At 43.8% G+C, this 18,162-nt stretch overlaps 1 protein-coding gene, 1 long non-coding RNA gene and 1 other non-coding gene across 13 annotated transcripts, besides 3 other annotated features; 2 read left to right on the top strand and 1 right to left on the bottom strand.

Annotated features, from left to right (window-relative positions):
• Window positions 459–508: a silencer, noted in NCBI's record as "silent region_19362". NCBI's record gives its function as "represses an Ori minimal core promoter by ATAC-STARR-seq in GM12878 lymphoblastoid cells {active_cell/tissue: GM12878}" and the evidence as "EXISTENCE:reporter gene assay evidence [ECO:0000049][PMID:35858748]".
• On the bottom strand, window positions 7,116–16,261 carry PDP1 (pyruvate dehydrogenase phosphatase catalytic subunit 1). 11 transcript variants are annotated; one of them, XM_047421909.1, is made up of 5 exons: window positions 15,518–15,629; window positions 15,239–15,273; window positions 14,041–14,088; window positions 11,821–11,957; window positions 7,116–11,168 (listed from the first exon to the last, which is right to left on the bottom strand). In XM_047421909.1, exon 5 carries the CDS (start codon window positions 11,122–11,124, stop codon window positions 9,511–9,513), a length of 1,614 nt encoding a protein of 537 aa, XP_047277865.1. In that variant the 5' UTR covers window positions 11,125–11,168; window positions 11,821–11,957; window positions 14,041–14,088; window positions 15,239–15,273; window positions 15,518–15,629; the 3' UTR covers window positions 7,116–9,510. The 11 variants fall into 11 exon arrangements, with proteins under 11 accessions (XP_047277865.1, XP_047277861.1, XP_047277863.1 ...); XM_047421905.1 differs by lacking the exons at window positions 11,821–11,957; window positions 15,518–15,629 and adding an exon at window positions 16,105–16,261; XM_047421907.1 differs by lacking the exons at window positions 14,041–14,088; window positions 15,518–15,629 and adding an exon at window positions 16,105–16,261.
• Window positions 15,321–16,050: a silencer, noted in NCBI's record as "silent region_19361". NCBI's record gives its function as "represses an Ori minimal core promoter by ATAC-STARR-seq in GM12878 lymphoblastoid cells {active_cell/tissue: GM12878}" and the evidence as "EXISTENCE:reporter gene assay evidence [ECO:0000049][PMID:35858748]".
• Window positions 16,181–16,520: a silencer, noted in NCBI's record as "silent region_19360". NCBI's record gives its function as "represses an Ori minimal core promoter by ATAC-STARR-seq in GM12878 lymphoblastoid cells {active_cell/tissue: GM12878}" and the evidence as "EXISTENCE:reporter gene assay evidence [ECO:0000049][PMID:35858748]".
• MIR378D2HG (MIR378D2 host gene) lies at window positions 16,540–17,450 on the top strand. The gene has a single exon (NR_170280.1). It is a non-coding gene; the product is annotated as an MIR378D2 host gene (long non-coding RNA).
• On the top strand, window positions 17,065–17,162 carry MIR378D2 (microRNA 378d-2). Its single transcript, NR_039602.1, has one exon. It is a non-coding gene; the product is annotated as a microRNA 378d-2 (primary transcript).

The raw sequence follows: 18,162 nt of genomic DNA, 5'->3' as shown, positions 1-18,162 counted from the left end.
GCCTCTCTAGAAGGCTGCGCACAGCATGGCTCTTCCTAGAGTCAGTTATCCAAGAGCAAAGCAGTGTCCAAGACAGAAGCTGCAGTGTCTTTTTACAATCTAATATCAGGAGGGCCATCCCATTTCATCTGCTATACTCTAACCCAATCCTAGGAGTGTATTGACTACGCAGGATGTAAATACCAGGAGGCAGGGGTCACTGAGAGCCATCCTGAAGGCTGATTACCACGTATCCCTAGTACCTAAAACAATGAAGGAACCCAATACACACTTGCTAGATTGGACTGAACCAGCCTGTGGCTGGTAATTCAATCCAGCTATCATGGTCCAAGACTTTGATGGATGGCTGGTAGGTTACTCAGGTTCAGTGGCTTTTAAGTTGCCCAATACCTGAGTAGTGTTCAGTAAGTGTACTATAGTAGCCAAGGAACTGAGGGGAACAAAAATATGCCTATGTTTGAATTAAACACCAGGTTACTAAATTTGACTGCAGACCCACGAATGACTAATGGCAATATGCAAATCACACGGATGTTCTCTTGTTTAACCATCAACACTTCCTCACTTAAATCCGTCTAGGCTCCTATCTGTGAGTGGCTAGAAGCCAGATCTCAGCCTGGCACGGGTCCAGCTGACCTTCCTTTGTCCTTCTTCCTCCCACGCCTGCCTCCACCAACTCTTGCATCCCATGCTTGTCTTGGTTGACCTCTGCCTTCTCAAGCAGTTCTGTCTCTAAAGTTTTGCTGGCTGCAAAAGTGCTCCAGAGTGACTGTGTATTTGCTTAGGGCTCTTCTGTGCTGTTTCTACCTTTCCACCTCATCACCCACCACAGCTCCCCACCAGTGCATGTTCTACCCATATGAAAGGCACTCAGAGCTCTTCAAACACGAGTTCTGCCTTCTTCCAAGAAAGTCATCCCTCAATTCTCTTCTTTTTTTTAATTGTTGTTTGTTTGTTTGTTTGAGACACAGTCTTGCTCTGTCACCCAGGTTGGAGTGCAATGGCACAATCTTGGCTCACTGCAACCTCTGCCTCCTGGGTTTAAGCGATTCTCCTGCCTCAGCCTCCCAAGTAACTGGGATTACAGGCATGTGCCACCACACCTGGCTAATTTTTGTATTCTTAGTAGAGAAGGGGTTTCACCATGTTGGCCAGGCTGGTCTCAAACTCCTGACCTCAGGTGATCCACCCACCTCGGCCTCTCAAAGTGCTGGGATTACAGGCGTGAGCCACCAAGCCTGGCCCCTGGATTCTTTTCTGCCTGGCAAACCCCTTTTCCCCTTTAAAATCTCTGCTCAAGCACTGTCCCTTCTAATGAAACTTCCCTGACTCTCTAGGGCCTGCCTTGTCACTATGGCACATCAGGACAGAGTCACTCTTTTTTCTGGATTATTGTTGAAATTTTGTATTTGTCTCAGTTTCTGAATCATCCCTAATTACCAAAGGGTAATTATTATTTTATGCAATGGTAATTTTCCCTCCAAACTGTGAGCTCCTTGAAGGCAGACCCTACCTTTTAACCACCTTTCACCCCTAACACCTATCCTCAGTGCCTGGACAATTGAAACAAGGCACTAAGAAACATGTACCTGTGTATGCAATGCACTGCTAAGTGAGAAACAACTGGTTCTAACCTATAAAACCATAATTCTGTTTTTTCTGCACCCAGCTCACTCCTTCCATCTGTGTGGGGCTCCATTCCTTGTGTGCTATGTTAACTGCTGGGCTATGTCAATCTTGGTTTCTGCTTCTCAAGGAATCACTTGCTTATTGGCCACTTAGGCCTCAGGCTTTCTCGATTCCAAAGGAATCATTCTGGTTACATGGAGAGGCCAGGCAGCATGCTGTGTTGATTAAACATGCCGGCTTTGAAAAACACAGACGTGAATTTGTTTGGTGTGTGATGCTGGACGTGTTACCTAGCCTCTTTGTGCTGGCTAAAATAGAGGATATAATACTTCAGCTTGCTTTGAAGCTTATGTTGGTCAGGTCTCAGCAGGAAACTGACTTCACCCTAGATGTTTCAAATGAATGGATTTCTTACAGAGATTTGAACAAGAGTAAAGGAACAAACAAAGGATGGTGGGGCACCAGGAGACTAGCAACAGTAGAAGTCATTACCCTCCCTAAGGCTGAAAGGACAACGGAAGAAAATAATGTTACCTGGGCCCACTGAGGCTTGGAATCATGGAAGACGAGCAGTACAGTGTGAGAGTTACAGCTAAGGCTGGAGATGCAGCCCACAGCATGGAGGGAATAAGGAAGAAATATCCCAGCCTCTCTCTCATCCCACCCTCTGATCATCTGCTGGTGTTACCTGTTGGTTGAACTGAAATGGCAATCAGGAGGCAAATGAGCCCTGGGAGCTACAGCCTGTAGGGTCTGGCTTCCTGGTCCACAGAGCAGGGCAGGGACAGCCAGAGAAGGGATTGAAGGGCCAGACACTACCTGGCACAAGGATAAAATGAGAACATGTACACAGTGTACTTTTCACAGAACCAGGCACATAGTAGGTACACAAGAAACAACGGTTGTGATTACTGTTAGTATTAGTATGGCTGCAACATCAGTGTGTTTTCTGGTTATGCCCAGAGCCACAGGGCTCTGACTTTATGGTCAACAAGGCCCTGCTTTAATAAACCTCATTCTCTCTGGCCTGCTCGGTCTCACAGCTCTGTCTCTACTGACACCAGGGCCTTAATGATCCCATCTCTGTTTTCATCAGGCTAAATTAGGCTATTTAACTTATCTACAGGTTTGGAGCAAAGAAAAATAATTTCTAAGCAAAGTTCTTTGGAGAAAACTATCCTTCTGGGTACCACAGATCCCTCTCCATGTGGTCAGTTTCAAAGACTTTCCTTTTTGCTTATCTAATGGACCAGGACTAAATGGCCATGCTAATGTCAATTGCTGCTGCCCTACCATAAAATATGTGCACATAAGGGTTGAAAAATGATTGTTTTTTTTTTGAGACAGAGTCTTGCTCTGTCGCCCAGGCTGGAGTGCAGTGGTGTGATCTCAGCTCACTGCAAGCTCCGCCTCCCGGGTTCATGCCATTCTCCTGCCTCAGCCTCCCCAGCAGCTGGAACTACAGGCGCACGCCGCCACGCCTGGCTAATTTTTTTGTATTTTTAGTAGAGACGGGGTTTCACTGTGTTAGCCAGGATGGCCTCAATCTCCTGACCTTGTGATCTGCCCTCCTCGGCCTCCCAAAGTGCTGGGATTAAAGGTGTGAGCCACCGTGCCCGGCCTTTTTTTTTTTTTTTTGAGACGGAGTCTTGCTCTGTCACCAGGCTGGAGTGCAGTGGCACAATCTTGGCTCACTGCAGCCTCCGCCTCCCGGGTTCAAGTGAGTCTCCTGTCTCAGCCTCCCAAGTAGCTGGGATTATAGGTATGCACCACCATGCCCAACTAATTTTTTTGTATTTTTAGTAGAGATGGGGTTTCGCCACGTTGGCCAGGGGGCTCTTGAACTCCTGACCTCAGGTGATTCACCCACCTCAGCCTCCCAAAGTGCTGAGATTACAGACATGAGCCATCGTGCCTGGCCAAAAATGATTTTTAAAGTCCTTTACCTTGTTACTATTTAGCTCACTGCTGTCTTTCCGGTGCTTTGCTCTCATCCTTGTCACTGTTCCAAAGTATTAGGATCTGGTGCTCCCTGACCCCATTACTGCCTCTGTAATCACTACAGCAATTGCCAATACCATTCTTTCCCTTCCCTCACTTTTCTTGTTTTTCCCAGCTTAGGTCTCTTGTCACATTTCCCATTCTTCTCAGTGTTCACGCTGGAAGGCTGGTCTCTGAGGCAACACTGCCAGCAAATAAAACAGTTCCTGGCCTTCAAAAAGACAATCTGGTTCATCGCCACAGATGAGATAAAATCTTTAGTTGACTCTTCTTGACTGCTTGTTGCTAGTGCCCAGGGTTTAAAGTTTCTGAAAGGCTGAATGTGATCACTAACCTCACACTTTAGTATTTGTGCACTTTGAGCATCTGTTACAGGCAGAAAGTCAGTGAACCGGGTATATTTTAGAAAAGCAGGGAACTGGCTGGGCACAGTGGCTCACGTCTGTAATCCCAGCACTTTGGGAGACCGAGGCAGGCAGATCATCTGAAGTCGGAAGTTCGAGACCAGCCTGACCAACATGGAGAAACTCTGTCTCTACTAAAAATACAAAATTAGCCAGGTGTAGTGGCACATGCCTGCAATCCCAGCTACTCGGAAGGCTGAGGCAGGAGAATCGCTTGAACCCAGGAGGCGGTTGTAGTGAGCCTAGATTGTACCACTGCACTCCAGCCTAGGCAAGAAGAGTGAAGCTCTCTCTCAAAAAGAAAAAAAAAAGAAAAGAAAAGAAAGAAAAGCAGAGAACTCATGAGTCTGGGCAGGATCCTGGATAGAAAACTGTCTCCTCCACCCGCCTTTGGGTAGGGGTAGTAAGGTAAACTAAGATGAAATATCCAGTCCTTTTGGAGCTGGGTACCTGATACTCACAAATAGCAGCTACAGTTCCTGGTGGACCCTCAAAGGAACGCTTCTCTCATTCTGTGCATAGGGAGCTTCTGGGAGTCAAGGGTTGGATGGGGACCATTTATGAACCTAAATATTGGCTAAATAACTGAGCCTAAATTGTGTGGACCTTAATATACATGCATTGGATAACCCTTTTTTTTTTTTTTTTTTTTTTTGAGATGGAGTGTTGCTCTGTCTGTCGCCCAGGCTGGAGTTTAGTGGTGCAATCTTGGCTCACTGCAAGCTCCGCCTCCCAGGTTCACGCCATTCTCCTGCCTCAGCCTCCCGAGTAGCTGGGACTACAGGCGCCCACCACAACGCCCGGCTAATTTTTTGTATTTTTAGTAGAGATGGGGTTTCACCGTGTTAGCCAGGATGGTCTCGATCTCCTGACCTTGTGATCCACCCGCCTTGGCCTCCCAAAGTGCTGGGATTACAGGTGTGAGCCACCATGCCTGGCCATGGATAACCATTTTTAATGGCATATGGAGTATACAAATTTCATCATTCCTAATATATTTGTTTTGAAGACTTGTAATTTGAGAGCTATTTAGAAAATAATGCTATGCATTATGATTCAATCCAGGGTTATAAACTGCATTGTCGTAAGAACTGGACAGACAGGATTTAATAGGTTTAAGCTTGCCTTTTAAAGTACATTCTGAAAGGAAAACAGGAAATGATTTTCATACTGTAACAAGCCAATTCTGATGCCATAAAACGTCTTCATTTATTCAGCTTGTTTAGGTAGTAAAAGCACCACTGCATCAATTTTAACAGAATGTAACTTTTGAAGGTCTGAAAAACTCTACAATGAATAGCTATTGCTCTAGTATTTATGAAAAAGGTCAGAATTAAATATGTCAACCTATAGAGAGAATAACAGTTACCTAGATCCTCTTGCTATACCCAAGGACAAATGAACAACCCACATTCAGGTATTTGTTTGACTAGTGAACATGGAAGCTCATTCTAAGCAGTGTTAACTTTGTTTAATGAAAGCAGAAATACTCAAGTCAGTCACCCCATCCCCAACAGTCAGCACTTCATCCTCTTCCTTCCTCATCCCTAGTCATAGCTATGGCCAATGCAGTGATAAACCCAAACCATCAAAAACCAAGCTATATGAGCTTAGGAGGTTGAGGTTGCAATAAGCTGTGATCACACCACTACATGCCAGTCTAGGTAACAGAGTGAGACTCTCTTAAAAAAGACAAAAAACCCACCAAGGTATAATTTGCCATTTTCTCAATTTGTCATTAACACAATCATCTACCAAGCTTAATGAACTCAACAAACTTCTCAGTGGGAGAGGAACAAAGAGGCCAATAGCAAAGGGCCACGCCTTAATCCCACTGAACTTTTCACCATGAAAAATTCCCACCATTTGTTTTAAGGGCATTAAGGGTCCTATCATCAAAGCTTTAACAGAAAACTTACCTGTAATCATTATTTGCAAAGTTAAAGCTACACCTTAACCAAACAGCATTTCTGAGAATTATTAATCTAAAAATTATCTTTAAAGGGGGGCAGGGGGAGACTGACAACATCCATCAATAGAGAATGGATAAATTGTGATACATTCAAACACTGGAATGCTACCCAGTAATAAGGAACAGACTATGAATACAATCAACAACATAAGTGAATCTCCAAAAATTGAGCAAAAGTAAAACATAAAAAGTACATATGTGGGCCAGGTGCAGTGGCTTACGCCTGTGATCCCAGTACTTTGGGAGGCTGATGTGGGCAGATCACTTGAGGTCAGGAGTTTGAGACCAGTCTGGCTAACATGGTGAAATCCCGTCTCCACCAAAAATACAAAAGTTAGCCATGTGTGGTGGCACATGCTTGTAGTCCCATCTACTTGGGAGGCTGAGGCAGGATGATTGCTCAAACCCAGGATGCGGAGGCTGCAGTGAGCCGAGATCATGCACTCCAGCCAGGGCGACAGAGCAAGACTGTCTGAAAAAAAAAAAAAGTACATGTATGATTTATATAAATTTCTAGAAGCAAAATTATGGTGAGAGAAGTGGAATGATACTTATGAGGGGAGGGATTAATGGAAAGGGGCATAGGGAATTTTCTGAAGAAAAAGTTTTATATCTTTGTTGGGGTGTTACCAAATGTTACATCGCAAATTTTAAATCTGTGCATTTTGTTTAAATTATACCTCAATTTTGGCCAGGCATGGTGGCTCACACCTGTAATCCAAACACTTTGGGAGGCCGAGGCGGGTGGATCACAAGGTCAGGAGTTGAAGACCAGCCTGGCCAACATGGTGAAACCCCATCTCTACTAAAAATACAAAAATTAGCCAGGTGTGGTGGCCCGCACCTGTAGTCCCAGCTACTTGGGAGGCTGAGGCAGAAGAACTGCTTGAACCCAGGAGGCAGAGGCTGCAGTAAGATGAGATCGCACCACTGCACTCCAGCCTGGGTGACAGAGCGAGACTCCATCTCAAAAAAAAAAGAAAAAAAATTTTACCTCAATTTTTACAAATTTGAAGTACTATGTATCTACTGGGTCCTAAAATTAAATATAATCTACCACACATAGGAAGCATCTAATCAATCTTGTTATTAAAAACCAACACAGGACATTCAGAAAGCAGATATGAAGCTTTAATTCACCATAGGCATTTCTCCAACCATTCTGTACATTAAACTTTCATGTCTTCACACATATACATCTTTTATAAGACAGTTTTCTTAGCAATATGGTACTCTGTACCATACCAACATTCCATTTAACTAGTTAAGGGTGTATTATATAACATGAACCACTGATTAAATATAAATACAGAAGTTGAATACATAGGTTAGAAAGTTTAAATTTTAAAAAAATTTAAGAAAGGCTAAATACCATGAAAGTTTACATGTATTCTTTAATTCTAGACACCGTACAACAGTGACAACCAATTACAATAAAATCACAATTGCTTTTAGATGACAGTACTTTCAGATTTCTAATACCCAATTACTTTCATTTCCACAATGTCAACTTCATGCTGCATTTTCATTTCTATAGAGCAGACAAGCTTCCAGACTGCAGACCAAGTTTCTTGTGTAATAATACTACTATCTTGATCATGACCACAGGAAACCAATTTTATATTCCCTGTACTATAGAGATGAGACATTATTTGGTGTATATGAAACTCTTCAGTGGTGGTGTTCAAGAATATTCAAATAGTAGCTGAAAATAGGGTTTGCTAGAGCAGTCCACATATTTCATTAAAAGAAAAATGCCCAGTCAAAACATTTAGAAATAAATATATAGTACAGCCTTTCCCTCTCCCAAATACTACCCAGGAAAAAAGTTCCAAGCTGACTTAAAAAAAAAAAAACACACAAATAAAAACAAAAACACCTCAAAAAATAAACATTATATGATATTCTGAGCAGCAATCTTCCTGAGTCTATTTTCAATTGAAACAAATTCTGCAGCCAATAGTACACTGATTCAGTATCCACAGTCCAGAAGGAGTTCTTGAACATCTAGTTCATATCCCCAAAAAATGTGAAAAGACTCCTAAACACCCAAGTTATTACACAATGGGAAGCTGATATTGGCTTGTATTAAAATCCAGGTGAATATCAAACATAATCACAGCCTTAACAGTGATGCTAGAATAAGTGATGACAATATGTGCACAGCTGTATACAGATCACTATTAAACACAGGAACAAAATGCCACTTGATGCATATCAAAAAGCCAATTTGAATATATTTATTTCATTTACATTGATACAGTATTAGAAGGGACTGAATATAATTATGGAGACTGCTGCAAACATTTGATGCCACTAAGTATTCTATTAAGCATCAGGCATGCACAGTAGTTACCTTTTAAAGTTTCTCATGTATATATCTTAACACATATATCTTAAGCTACAATATGTTTAAAGCATTTAGTCATTTTAAACCCAAATATTTTAATTGACCTATGTCTAAATGGAGAAAAACAGAAACTTCCTCCTGTCTCAATACCCGATGGCAATATTAAACCTTACTCCCCAAATTGATATTTAAACTTATTTATGTCATCTTTAAAATTCCAAAAATAATGAAAAGTCTTATCATTACTAAATAAGAAGTACGATTCCCCGGCAGCAGTCTACCCACCACACACTTACGGCATGCCAAGCCTTTGGGGATTACATAAGAGTGATGTGCTGGTGGCTACAGATGACAATAATTGAAGAGATCAGTCTCTTCTTTTTATTCTGGATCTCCTTATTTTAAACTAAAGCTTTTCATTAATACAAATAAAAAAATCTTTTTTTCTTTCTTTAACTTCAATAGAAGAGTAGATAAAACTAAAAACCCTTATTGTCTCCAAGTGTGTGGCAAAATAGAAAATCTTTCAATTACATTAGGAAATCGGGTGGATAACGGAGTATAGTTATTCCACTTAAGAAGCATTCCAGTCAAATAATCACAAAAACAAATTCAGATTGCTTGGATCTTGGTCATTTATGGCTTGAAGAACTGGATTTGAAAACCACTTTAGGCTAAAATAAATGTATATGAATAATGCATAGACTGTGTATCTAGAAAATCATGCAATAAATATATGTTCTCATGTACACTGGAATCTCAGTGAAGAAAGGTGTGAACAGTACTGTTTCTTCACTTTAACCAAGAGACTACACACAGCAAGATACTTGCTTTTGGCCTATTCAAGATCTTATTTGCCAGGTCATCCTAATTTTCTCAGGTTGGTAAAAGAAGCTAATGTTTCAAGACACCTGTGATAAAGAAGTGACTTGCTTCAAGTGCAGGTGCCATGAAATCTGAGCTAGGCAGGACCAGACTCTCCTGACCCTGCCACCCTGCTGCAAAGTCAATTTGGAGTACCTGACTAGCTAGAGTATCAAAAGGGTAAATGCTTAGAATGACCAACTGGAAATGTTTATTATAGTAGTATCTTTTTAAAAAATCTGCCCTTTAAATGTATATCATTTGAGAATTGCCAGTGAAAGAGCCACTCACTATTCTTGGTTTTGATACGCCCCTACAACATGAGAATTGAACTGAACTACAATGATTGTAATGTCATCTCTGTACATTCGAGCAAGCTCTTCAGGAAGACTAAGCATTTTAGAGAGGCGCTCATGATCAACAGTCCCAAACTCGTTGTTGCCCACAGCGTGGCGAATGAGATGGGTTGCTGCGTTCTGATCCTCAAATACCGAGGACATTTTGGTTCTCCTTTCTGTTAAAAGGCCATGCATCTGTCCCAGAGTCACCTTGTAGCCACCAACAGCTATTGGCTGTTGGTGATGCATGCCAGTTAGGTACTCACCCACAATCCTAACCACATCCTGCCTATGCATAGTCTCCCACAACCCATCAGTAGCCAACACCAGAAACTTATCCTGTGGCCTTAATCGGTGGTAAGTTACCTCTGGCTCAGCAGTGAGATAAGGAGGTGTGTGATAATTAGGAGGAATAAACTTGGTATATTCATTGTCATTCAACTGGTCTGGGCCAGATTCTATCACTCTCTTTTGAAGGTCAATGCTCCATTTGAACTTTACATCTCCAAATGCCCTAAATGGCATCAGCAAGCCAAGCAGCCGATCCTGTTTCACGACACTCTTGGCCTCACTCTTTGGATGTTCCAATTTCAGCCGTTCTAGTTCTCTTTCATTTTGAGCATTGTGGTCATTAGACAGCGTGACTGCTGACCATGAGCCGTCCTCTTCCTGCACACCCAGCATGGCTCTGCTATCGCCAGTATTGGCCACATGAAGGTCAACACCATCCACATGGGCCACACAAGCAGTGGCTCCAGAAAATGCCACTCGAAGCACCAGGTAGTTGAGAAAAGAATTAGGATCACCAACTTGCGCCTCCAAGGAGATGTCATTATCAAGCCTCTTGAAGGCATTAATTAGAGCCTCCTTAACATCAATATCAGTCGACTCACCAGTGTTGAGGTCTATAAGCTCTTGCCAGTAAGTCCTCAAGCTGTTAAAGTACAATTTGGATGCCTCCTTACTAAAGTAATCATTGGGGTGCTTGTGCCACTGGAGAATGGGTAGCAGTGCCCGGCCGCTCTCCACTGCATTTTCAATCTCTAGCAAAGTCTCATGGGGTAACAAAGAGACAGCAATATAATAAAAGAGTCTTTCACTGACTGCCTGGGAACAAGCACAACCTGCATGGCCATCAAAAACCCCCAAAAGCATCCCTCTGGTCTGCAAGCAGGTTGCTGCACTTCTCCGGTCCTCAATGGGTGCATTTGCAGGCAGCTGATTGCTGTCAAATCCAAGGATAGAACTGACATTTTTGCCGTCAAATTCTGGCACTTTGAAACTGTATTCATTAGCTTTAAGGATGCTATTGACTTGTGGAGGTGTGAGGTAAAATTTCTGTGGTGTGGAAGCATATCTCCTTCCTTGGGTGTACTGCCACCAGTTCTCCTTTGGCCTGCAAAAGGTAGCATATGCTGGATGAGGTGTGTATCTCAGTCGACTCTGAGGAATGTACGATGAGGAACAACAGAGATGTTTGTGGTGGCAGTAACATGCAGTGCCATAGATCCTGCTCAGTTCACAGTTACGGATGAGAGGAAAAAACAGTTGAGTTGGTGCTGGCATGGCATCAGAGAACAGTGGCAGGCTGGAACTTCTGACTGGGATTCCTAGACAGCAAATTAGACAGATGTACACAAAGGAAAGAGTTACATTTCAGGATACTTAATCTAGCTTTGCCTTTATAACAAATATTAAGCAAGTCAATCTACATGTTAAGCCTTTGCTAGAAGGTACTACATTTTATACACACATCATGTACTATTTCTACAGGGTATATTCTGGCAGGCACAACTCCCAATCATTCGTGGAACCACGACTGAACTCCTGGCTCCTATACTCAAACTTCAATTTTCTCTTTTCTTTGTCGTCCTTTGTGCAGTACAAACTGTGCAGAATGTACAACAGATTTGGCTGGGGAAAGCTGAGGAGATGAAGGTTATATAACATTATGCAGTAGCCGTCTACCTGACCAATCATCCTTCTCCCTCCCTATTCTTAAAAAATGCCTTGAAATCTCCCATTTTACACAGGGACTTCTTCCATTTATGAAGACCCTTTACATAGACCTGTGGTCAATTTTTGGCATGATTACACATGGCTATGACCAAAAATGTTAAGAGGCAGCCAAACATATGTGTATTTATGAATTACGTGTACATCATATACATATATGACTACAGTAATATGCATTGTAACATATATAGAAAAATTTCTACATAATTAAATAAAAAAAGAAATTCCAGTATTTCTCTCCTGTACCCCAGTAGATGGTCTTGCAAAACTTGCTTCTCTAGTCCACTGTGGCAATTTGCCAGGCTAACGGGCATAGGTCTGCCACCAACTCCCAAATAATCTTGGAAAAGTCAGCTCACATCTTTGAGTCTCACTCTTCTAACCTGTAAAGGAACATCAACAGAGCAGATGCTATCTAAGGCTCTTCTAGGATTCATGCCTTTATGCTTATGGAAGTGAGGTTTTTAAATAAAATTCAGGTTTCATTTATTCACTGTTGAATTCTACCGTGCCCTTCATGATTAAAAAAAAAAAAAAAGTTTAAGTATTGCAGTAGCTCTAAAGCTTTGTTAGTAACATAAATGGTTTCAGTCCTAGAACTTAATTTACCTACTAACAATGTTCCCTGCTTAGCAGCTATAAGGAAAACCCATAGAAGTATTTTCATCTACTATGGATCCAAAGTAGAATTAACCCCTAGAAAAATGTTTTCTTGGATATGGTAATCACTCTGATTTGATCATTACACAATGTCTACCAATATATACATGCACTGAAACATCACATTGTACCCCATAAATATATAATATTATGTGTCAATTGTAAATTAAAAATAAATTTTAAAAGACCAAAAATGTTTTCTCTCACATTAAAAAAAAAAAAAAAAGGTATTTACTTGCTCCAGGGAAGCAGTATAGTCAAATAATAGTCTAAGGTTTGGATTGAAAAGGTACAGCAATATAATTACAAACTTAAAAAAAATCCTATCACTCACTATGTGCGCTGAAAATAATTTCTGGGCATTTATTTGGGAAATTTAATGAATATATCATTAATCTAGATAATTTGGGCAAGAAAAAAAATCCCTCTTCTTCCTCAATAACATATATTTTCCCTGAATTCTTGAGATACTGCTTCAAAATAGTCATTTGTACTATAAAGAAACACTTTGGAAATACTTTAAATAAACAAATGCAATAAACAAAAAGGAACACAGAAAATAAAACCATCTGAGTTAATAGCAACTATTCCTTCCCACGGCTAAACAAATATCATAGCATGTGTCAGCCATATATTATTTTCATGTACCTTTTTTGAAGAATAATTTGAGAAAAAGTAATAAATTGGGGTAGAGGGAAGCAAAGAAAACTAAACACTGAATAATCACTGATTCTTGTTTGTTTCTGTAATAAGCACTGCATAAGCCAGCCACACAGATTCTCTTCTGCAAGTAGTAGAAAGTACCATCATTTTAACTGCACTATCTAAGAAGGGATTTGTTTACGAAAATGAAGACAAGATCAGGCAATAGAAAGTAATGGCTAAAATTTTGGAAATAAGAATCCGTAACTAAAAAAGCATTCTGAAATGCACTAATGAAAAACAGAAATTCCAGAAAAACGGGAATCCATCAGGAGTAACCATTTAAATAAAAGAAATTCAAACTGAATACCTGAAAGTCATCCAGAGGTTAAGTGTACATGACTGAGCCAGAAGATGTGCTCAAATGTTGGGCCACATGACAGTGGCTTCCATACTTAAACCATATCTCTTTTTAGGTTTGCGTGCAGAAAGCATATCAACTCATTTTGTGCTTTGAATAAAGGTTTTCTATCATTAAAAATGTAAACTAATGTAATCTTAATGAATTTTTCTTCATAATTTTATGACTGCATTTGCTCTTTCTTTAAAACTTAAGAATCTTACAGAAAAAAACAATGAAAATGTGCCTGTATGGAACGTAAACTGACTCAAAATACTATTTGTGTGGGGGGGAGGGAGGGTTGATAGATGCATAACAGGGTTTGATTGTTTAATTAAGGAATAACAAGTCCTGGAAACCTGCACTTTCCTTAAATTCCTTTGCTTCGACATTTTTTTGCCGGGGGGGGGGAGGGAGGGCAGCGGGGGGAGGAATTTTGCTCTTGTTGCCCAGGCTGAAGTGCAATGGCGTGATCTCAGCTCATCGCAACCTCCGCCTCCCTGGTTCAAGCGATTCTCCTGCCCGGCTAATTCTGTATTTTCAGTAGAGATGGGGTTTCACCATGTTGGTCAGGTTGGTCTCGAACTCCTGACCTCAGGCCATCCACCCGCCTCAGCCTCCCAAAGTGCTGGGATTACAGGCATGAGCCACTGCACCCGGCTTGGTATGACATCTTTTCTACTTTTGTAATTGACTGCAAAATGAATGAAATCTAGTGACAAAAAGCAATGATTGACACAGCAGGTGCTTTTAACAATACTTACGTTCAAACATCAAATTCTCCACTACATTTTTCCTTCAAGGCAAAAATTCTTGAGATTAAAAACAAAAAATGAGAGAGTGAATTTTATTGACTCTATCTTTCAGTTATGCAGAGGCTTAGTACATGGACTGAGATTATATCCTAATGCCCCAACTTCCAACATGCCTTCAAAAGACAAAATTCCTAGGGAAGTTGGAATTTATGAAAACTGTGCTGTAATTAATGAGCGTTCTATCCGCATCGGTACAAGTGATACATTCTCTCCATCAGATCAGATACCCTTGGGAGTCAAAGTACTTTCAAATGCTTTCATAAATAAGTAAGCAATGAAAAACTCTTAATATCCTTCAGATTATCCACTGATTCAACAACAAGAAAACACTCTACATCATAACTTTTGCTGACAAGCTTGTTAAATTAGTGTAGAAGGCTCTTGATCAGGCAATAAGAACAGCATCCAGGTACAACTGTTGGTAAAACAGAGCAGTGTCAAATTTGCAAGTTATTCTTGATCACAATTTTCACGGAAAATTTCCTATTCCATGATCTAGACTCAGCCACGTTGTATGTAGCATCTTCATCCCAGGCAGATTGGGCTGATTTTGCCAATGACTAATAAAGAAAGATGCACTGCAACCAGAAACAGGAAAGAGAGCCGTCCATTCTTACTGATGTGCTTAGCAGAGCCTGTGCCAAGACATTTTTTCCACTCCATCAATAGACCCACGGACCAAATTAATTAGCAAATGCTATTAAGGCACCGACTCCAGAGCCCTTTAGCTTTGCAAAGCTTCTGATGTAAATGAAAAAGAAAAGCTATGCTAATCATTTAATGTGTCGGAACCCCAGTTTATGTAATCCGATTGCATTAAACACTCTACATAAAGACCATCCGCGATTTTTCAACATTTTTCTGGAAATGCCTAGCCATTTCACAGCTCCTGCTATCTTTTTACATAAATGAAGAAAGATACGAAGCACCACACGCCAGTATTTTTTTGATTAGTTTCCTTTGTCGCTACCTGAAAAACTGCACTCACAAAGACATCAAAGCTATCTCAATCCAAGACGCGTTTGTCCCTTTTTCCAATCTATCTCATCCCTTAATACCACGCTGATTCATCTAAAACCATCCATACACAAAAATCTGTCACCATCCTTCCTGGGTACCCAACGCAGGTAGTTAAGTGAATACCTACCAATTCGTCTGGGCCCGGGACACACACACATTCTCCTGTCATCACAACACGGAGCCGACAACATCCACAACCCGCGCGGGCAGCAGCAGCGACAGCAGCACCGGCCCATTGAAAGCAAGGCAGAGATGCTCATTAGAGGAGGCGGCGGCGGGGAGGCGGGAGCGGAGGAGGGGCGAGGTCTCGCTCCAGCCCGGTGAATGGGCTGGGAGGTGGGGGGGAAGAGGATGGAGGAGGGATAAAGGGGTGGAGAGAACAAGGAAGCCAACCAAACCAACCCACCCCGCCGGGGAGGCAAAGCCACAGCCCAAGGCAGCGGGGCCCAGGCGCGAGCAGGGGTGCGCCCCGAGGGCCAGCCCCTCCATCCAGCCGGGGCGCGAAGCCCATGGACTGCAGCCCCGCCCGCTGCCCGCCCCGCCCTGCCCGGCCCGGCCCCGCCCCAGGGGTGCCCGTTTCAGTCCAGACGAACAGGGGCCGGCCGGTGTCAGGCTGCCAGCGGGGCCAGCCCTGACCCGGGGTGCGTCAGGGAGACCCTCAGGCAGTGCCGCAGCCCTACAGCCTCCCTGGAGCTCACTCTGCCGCCGGCCCCGCGGCGCCCTTCGTGCTGACAGCTGGAGCGCAGGGGCCGGAAGACGCTAGGGCTGCACGGCGCCCCCGCCCCCGCCCCCAGCCCCCCGACGGCCCCCAGCGCCGCCACGCCCGCCCCACAGCCCGGACGCCCGGCGCGCACCTGGCGCTCCAGGGCTCGTCCAGCCCTCCGCACGCCCGCGGCCGCCGATCCGCGAGCACGCCCGGCGCCCCCTCACAACTTTGGACGGGTGGAGGATCCCGGACGGGGCGGCTCGTGGCAGGGAGTAGGGAATACGAACCGGGCACGGCAGGAGACCAAACGATTCTTCCCGACGAGGAGGGGGCGACAACGACGCCACCGCTCGGCGCTCTTTCCACGCAGCCCCGTGCAGCTCCCGGAGCGCGAGCCCTCACCCCCGGCCTGCCCACTCTGCTCCCCTACCGTGCGGGGCCGCCACCCTGCCCCGCCCGCACGTTCGGGCCGGAGTGCTTCCCGCCTGCCGATTGGCTGCGCAGTGACGAGTGGGAGGGGAGGCGGAGAGGGCTGCGGCCGGGGGTGGGGCGGGGGCGGAAGAGGAGCGCGCTCCCCGCCAGCTTTGTGACGTCACGGGGGTCAGACAATCCCTTCCATTCGGCGCGAGCCGCCCATTGGTTCCCCGGGCCCGCCTCACGTGACCCCCCCCCCCCCGCCCCCAGCGAGTGGAAGGTGTGGCTGCGCGGCGCTAGGGAGCGGTGGTCTGTGGAGCTCGGCGGTGTTGGCTGAGCAGGCTGCGGGGTCGGGAGAGGGGAGGCGCCTGGGCCGGCTCCAATGTCTTCGCGTGCATGGGGCCCGAGGAACGGGCTGCTCCCCTGTCGTGCAGGCTTCCTAGAATCTCTGGCACCTCTGCGGGGATGCGGTGGTGTGGGTGGCCGGCCCAGCGGCCAAGCCTCCCCTGCGCCTCGCGGTTGGGTGCGGGCTTCCCAGGGTAGGCTGCGGGAGCGGCTCCCAGCCTCACGGGAACCTCAACTCCCTGCGGCTCACCCCAGCCTGCGGTACAAGGCGTAGCAAAGAACCTCGAGAGTAGCTGTTGCTTCGTTCGTTTGATACGTTGCAGATTTTAGGAGCATTAACGCCCATCATGTTTTCTATCGCCCCAGGGAGAGGAAGCAGGTGTAGACAGCAGCAAGAGGGAGTTGTGATGAGGGAATTATCTCTGTAGCGTAGATGTGTGCTCACGTTCTCTGAGGAGTTTTGAAATCAGTATTGTTTCCGTTGCCCTGAATGGTTACAAGGAGAGAACACTGGACTTGGAGTCAGAAAACTTTCATCCAAGTCATTCCCTGCTCTAAGTCCCATTTCTGTTCCATGAGATTGTTTCCACCTCAGATGAGATTAGACTTAAGGTGGCATTGGTATTGTCTGTGGTAAAACAAGATATCTTCGAGGGCTCTTCAGTGACTTACATCCATACATCCCTTTTATGGGATAGTGGCTTCTGAAAGCTTCCTTGGCAGTGGCAGATAGAGCATTGCACTTATCTTCCCTAGTGTTCACCAATAAGTTGACTTTGATTTATTACACATAACTTCTTACTAGCCAGTCAGGTTCACAAAATGATGTGGAGTGAATTTCTTTTTATGTAATAAAAAACGTTATATACCCAAACTGGTCCTTTATAACTCCTGGATCTTTCAAGTTGCTGTATTCTCTGTTCTCTAAATAAACTAGAGGAGACTGTTTTTGCCCATCCCCAGGTTACCCATGGAACTTTTGTGGCTAGTCTGTCTGGCCTTCATCCCAGTTTTTACAGGTCCATCTGCCTCCCTTCATCCTCTCCTTTTTGCTTCTCAAATGGGCTTCCCATAAATTGCAAATATTCTCCACTACTCTTCCTGTCATTTAATTTAAGTATCTGGTTTCTTCTTCATAGATGCATAGGATGGTGTAGCCTAGTGATTAAGAGTGCAGCTGGAGCCAAGCTGGCTGGGTTCCATTCCCAGCTCTGCAGCTTTCTGTGTGGTCATGGGCAACTCTGCATGCCTCATTCTCTCACATATAAGATAAAAATGTAAAAAGTAATAGCAGGGCTGTATTAAGAGAGTTGACATATATAGCTTGCTAAGAAAGTACATAGCATGTAGTGTTATATAAGTGTTAGCTATTCTTGATATTATCGACATGTCCAGGTCAGTGTTTTAGATTAAGAACTCCTAGCAAGTAGGAGACCCAGGCCCCCAAGTGCATTATATTCTATTGTTAGGTACTAATAAGTTATTAATAGAATGGAGAATCTTTGAACCTTAGAATATCAGTTTAAATTCATTTATATAGAGGATCTCTGCCTCTTAACCCTTACTTTGTGGACATAGAGACCCAC

Source organism: Homo sapiens, chromosome 8 (genome assembly GCF_000001405.40).
Source record: "Homo sapiens chromosome 8, GRCh38.p14 Primary Assembly".
NCBI lineage: Eukaryota > Metazoa > Chordata > Mammalia > Primates > Hominidae > Homo > Homo sapiens.
This window is presented reverse-complemented; position numbering and strand designations above follow the sequence as displayed.

Coding starts and splice junctions, on each gene's coding strand:
- PDP1 (XM_017013588.2), bottom strand. CDS start 15,600: ATGGAGGGGCTGGCCCTCGGGGCGCACCCCTGCTCGCGCCTGGGCCCC. Junction 15,274..15,517: donor GGCTTTGCCTCCCCGGCGGG/GTGGGTTGGTTT, acceptor TTGTGATGACAG/GAGAATGTGTGTGTGTCCCG. Junction 11,169..15,238: donor TCCCGGGCCCAGACGAATTG/GTAGGTATTCAC, acceptor TTTGCTGTCTAG/GAATCCCAGTCAGAAGTTCC.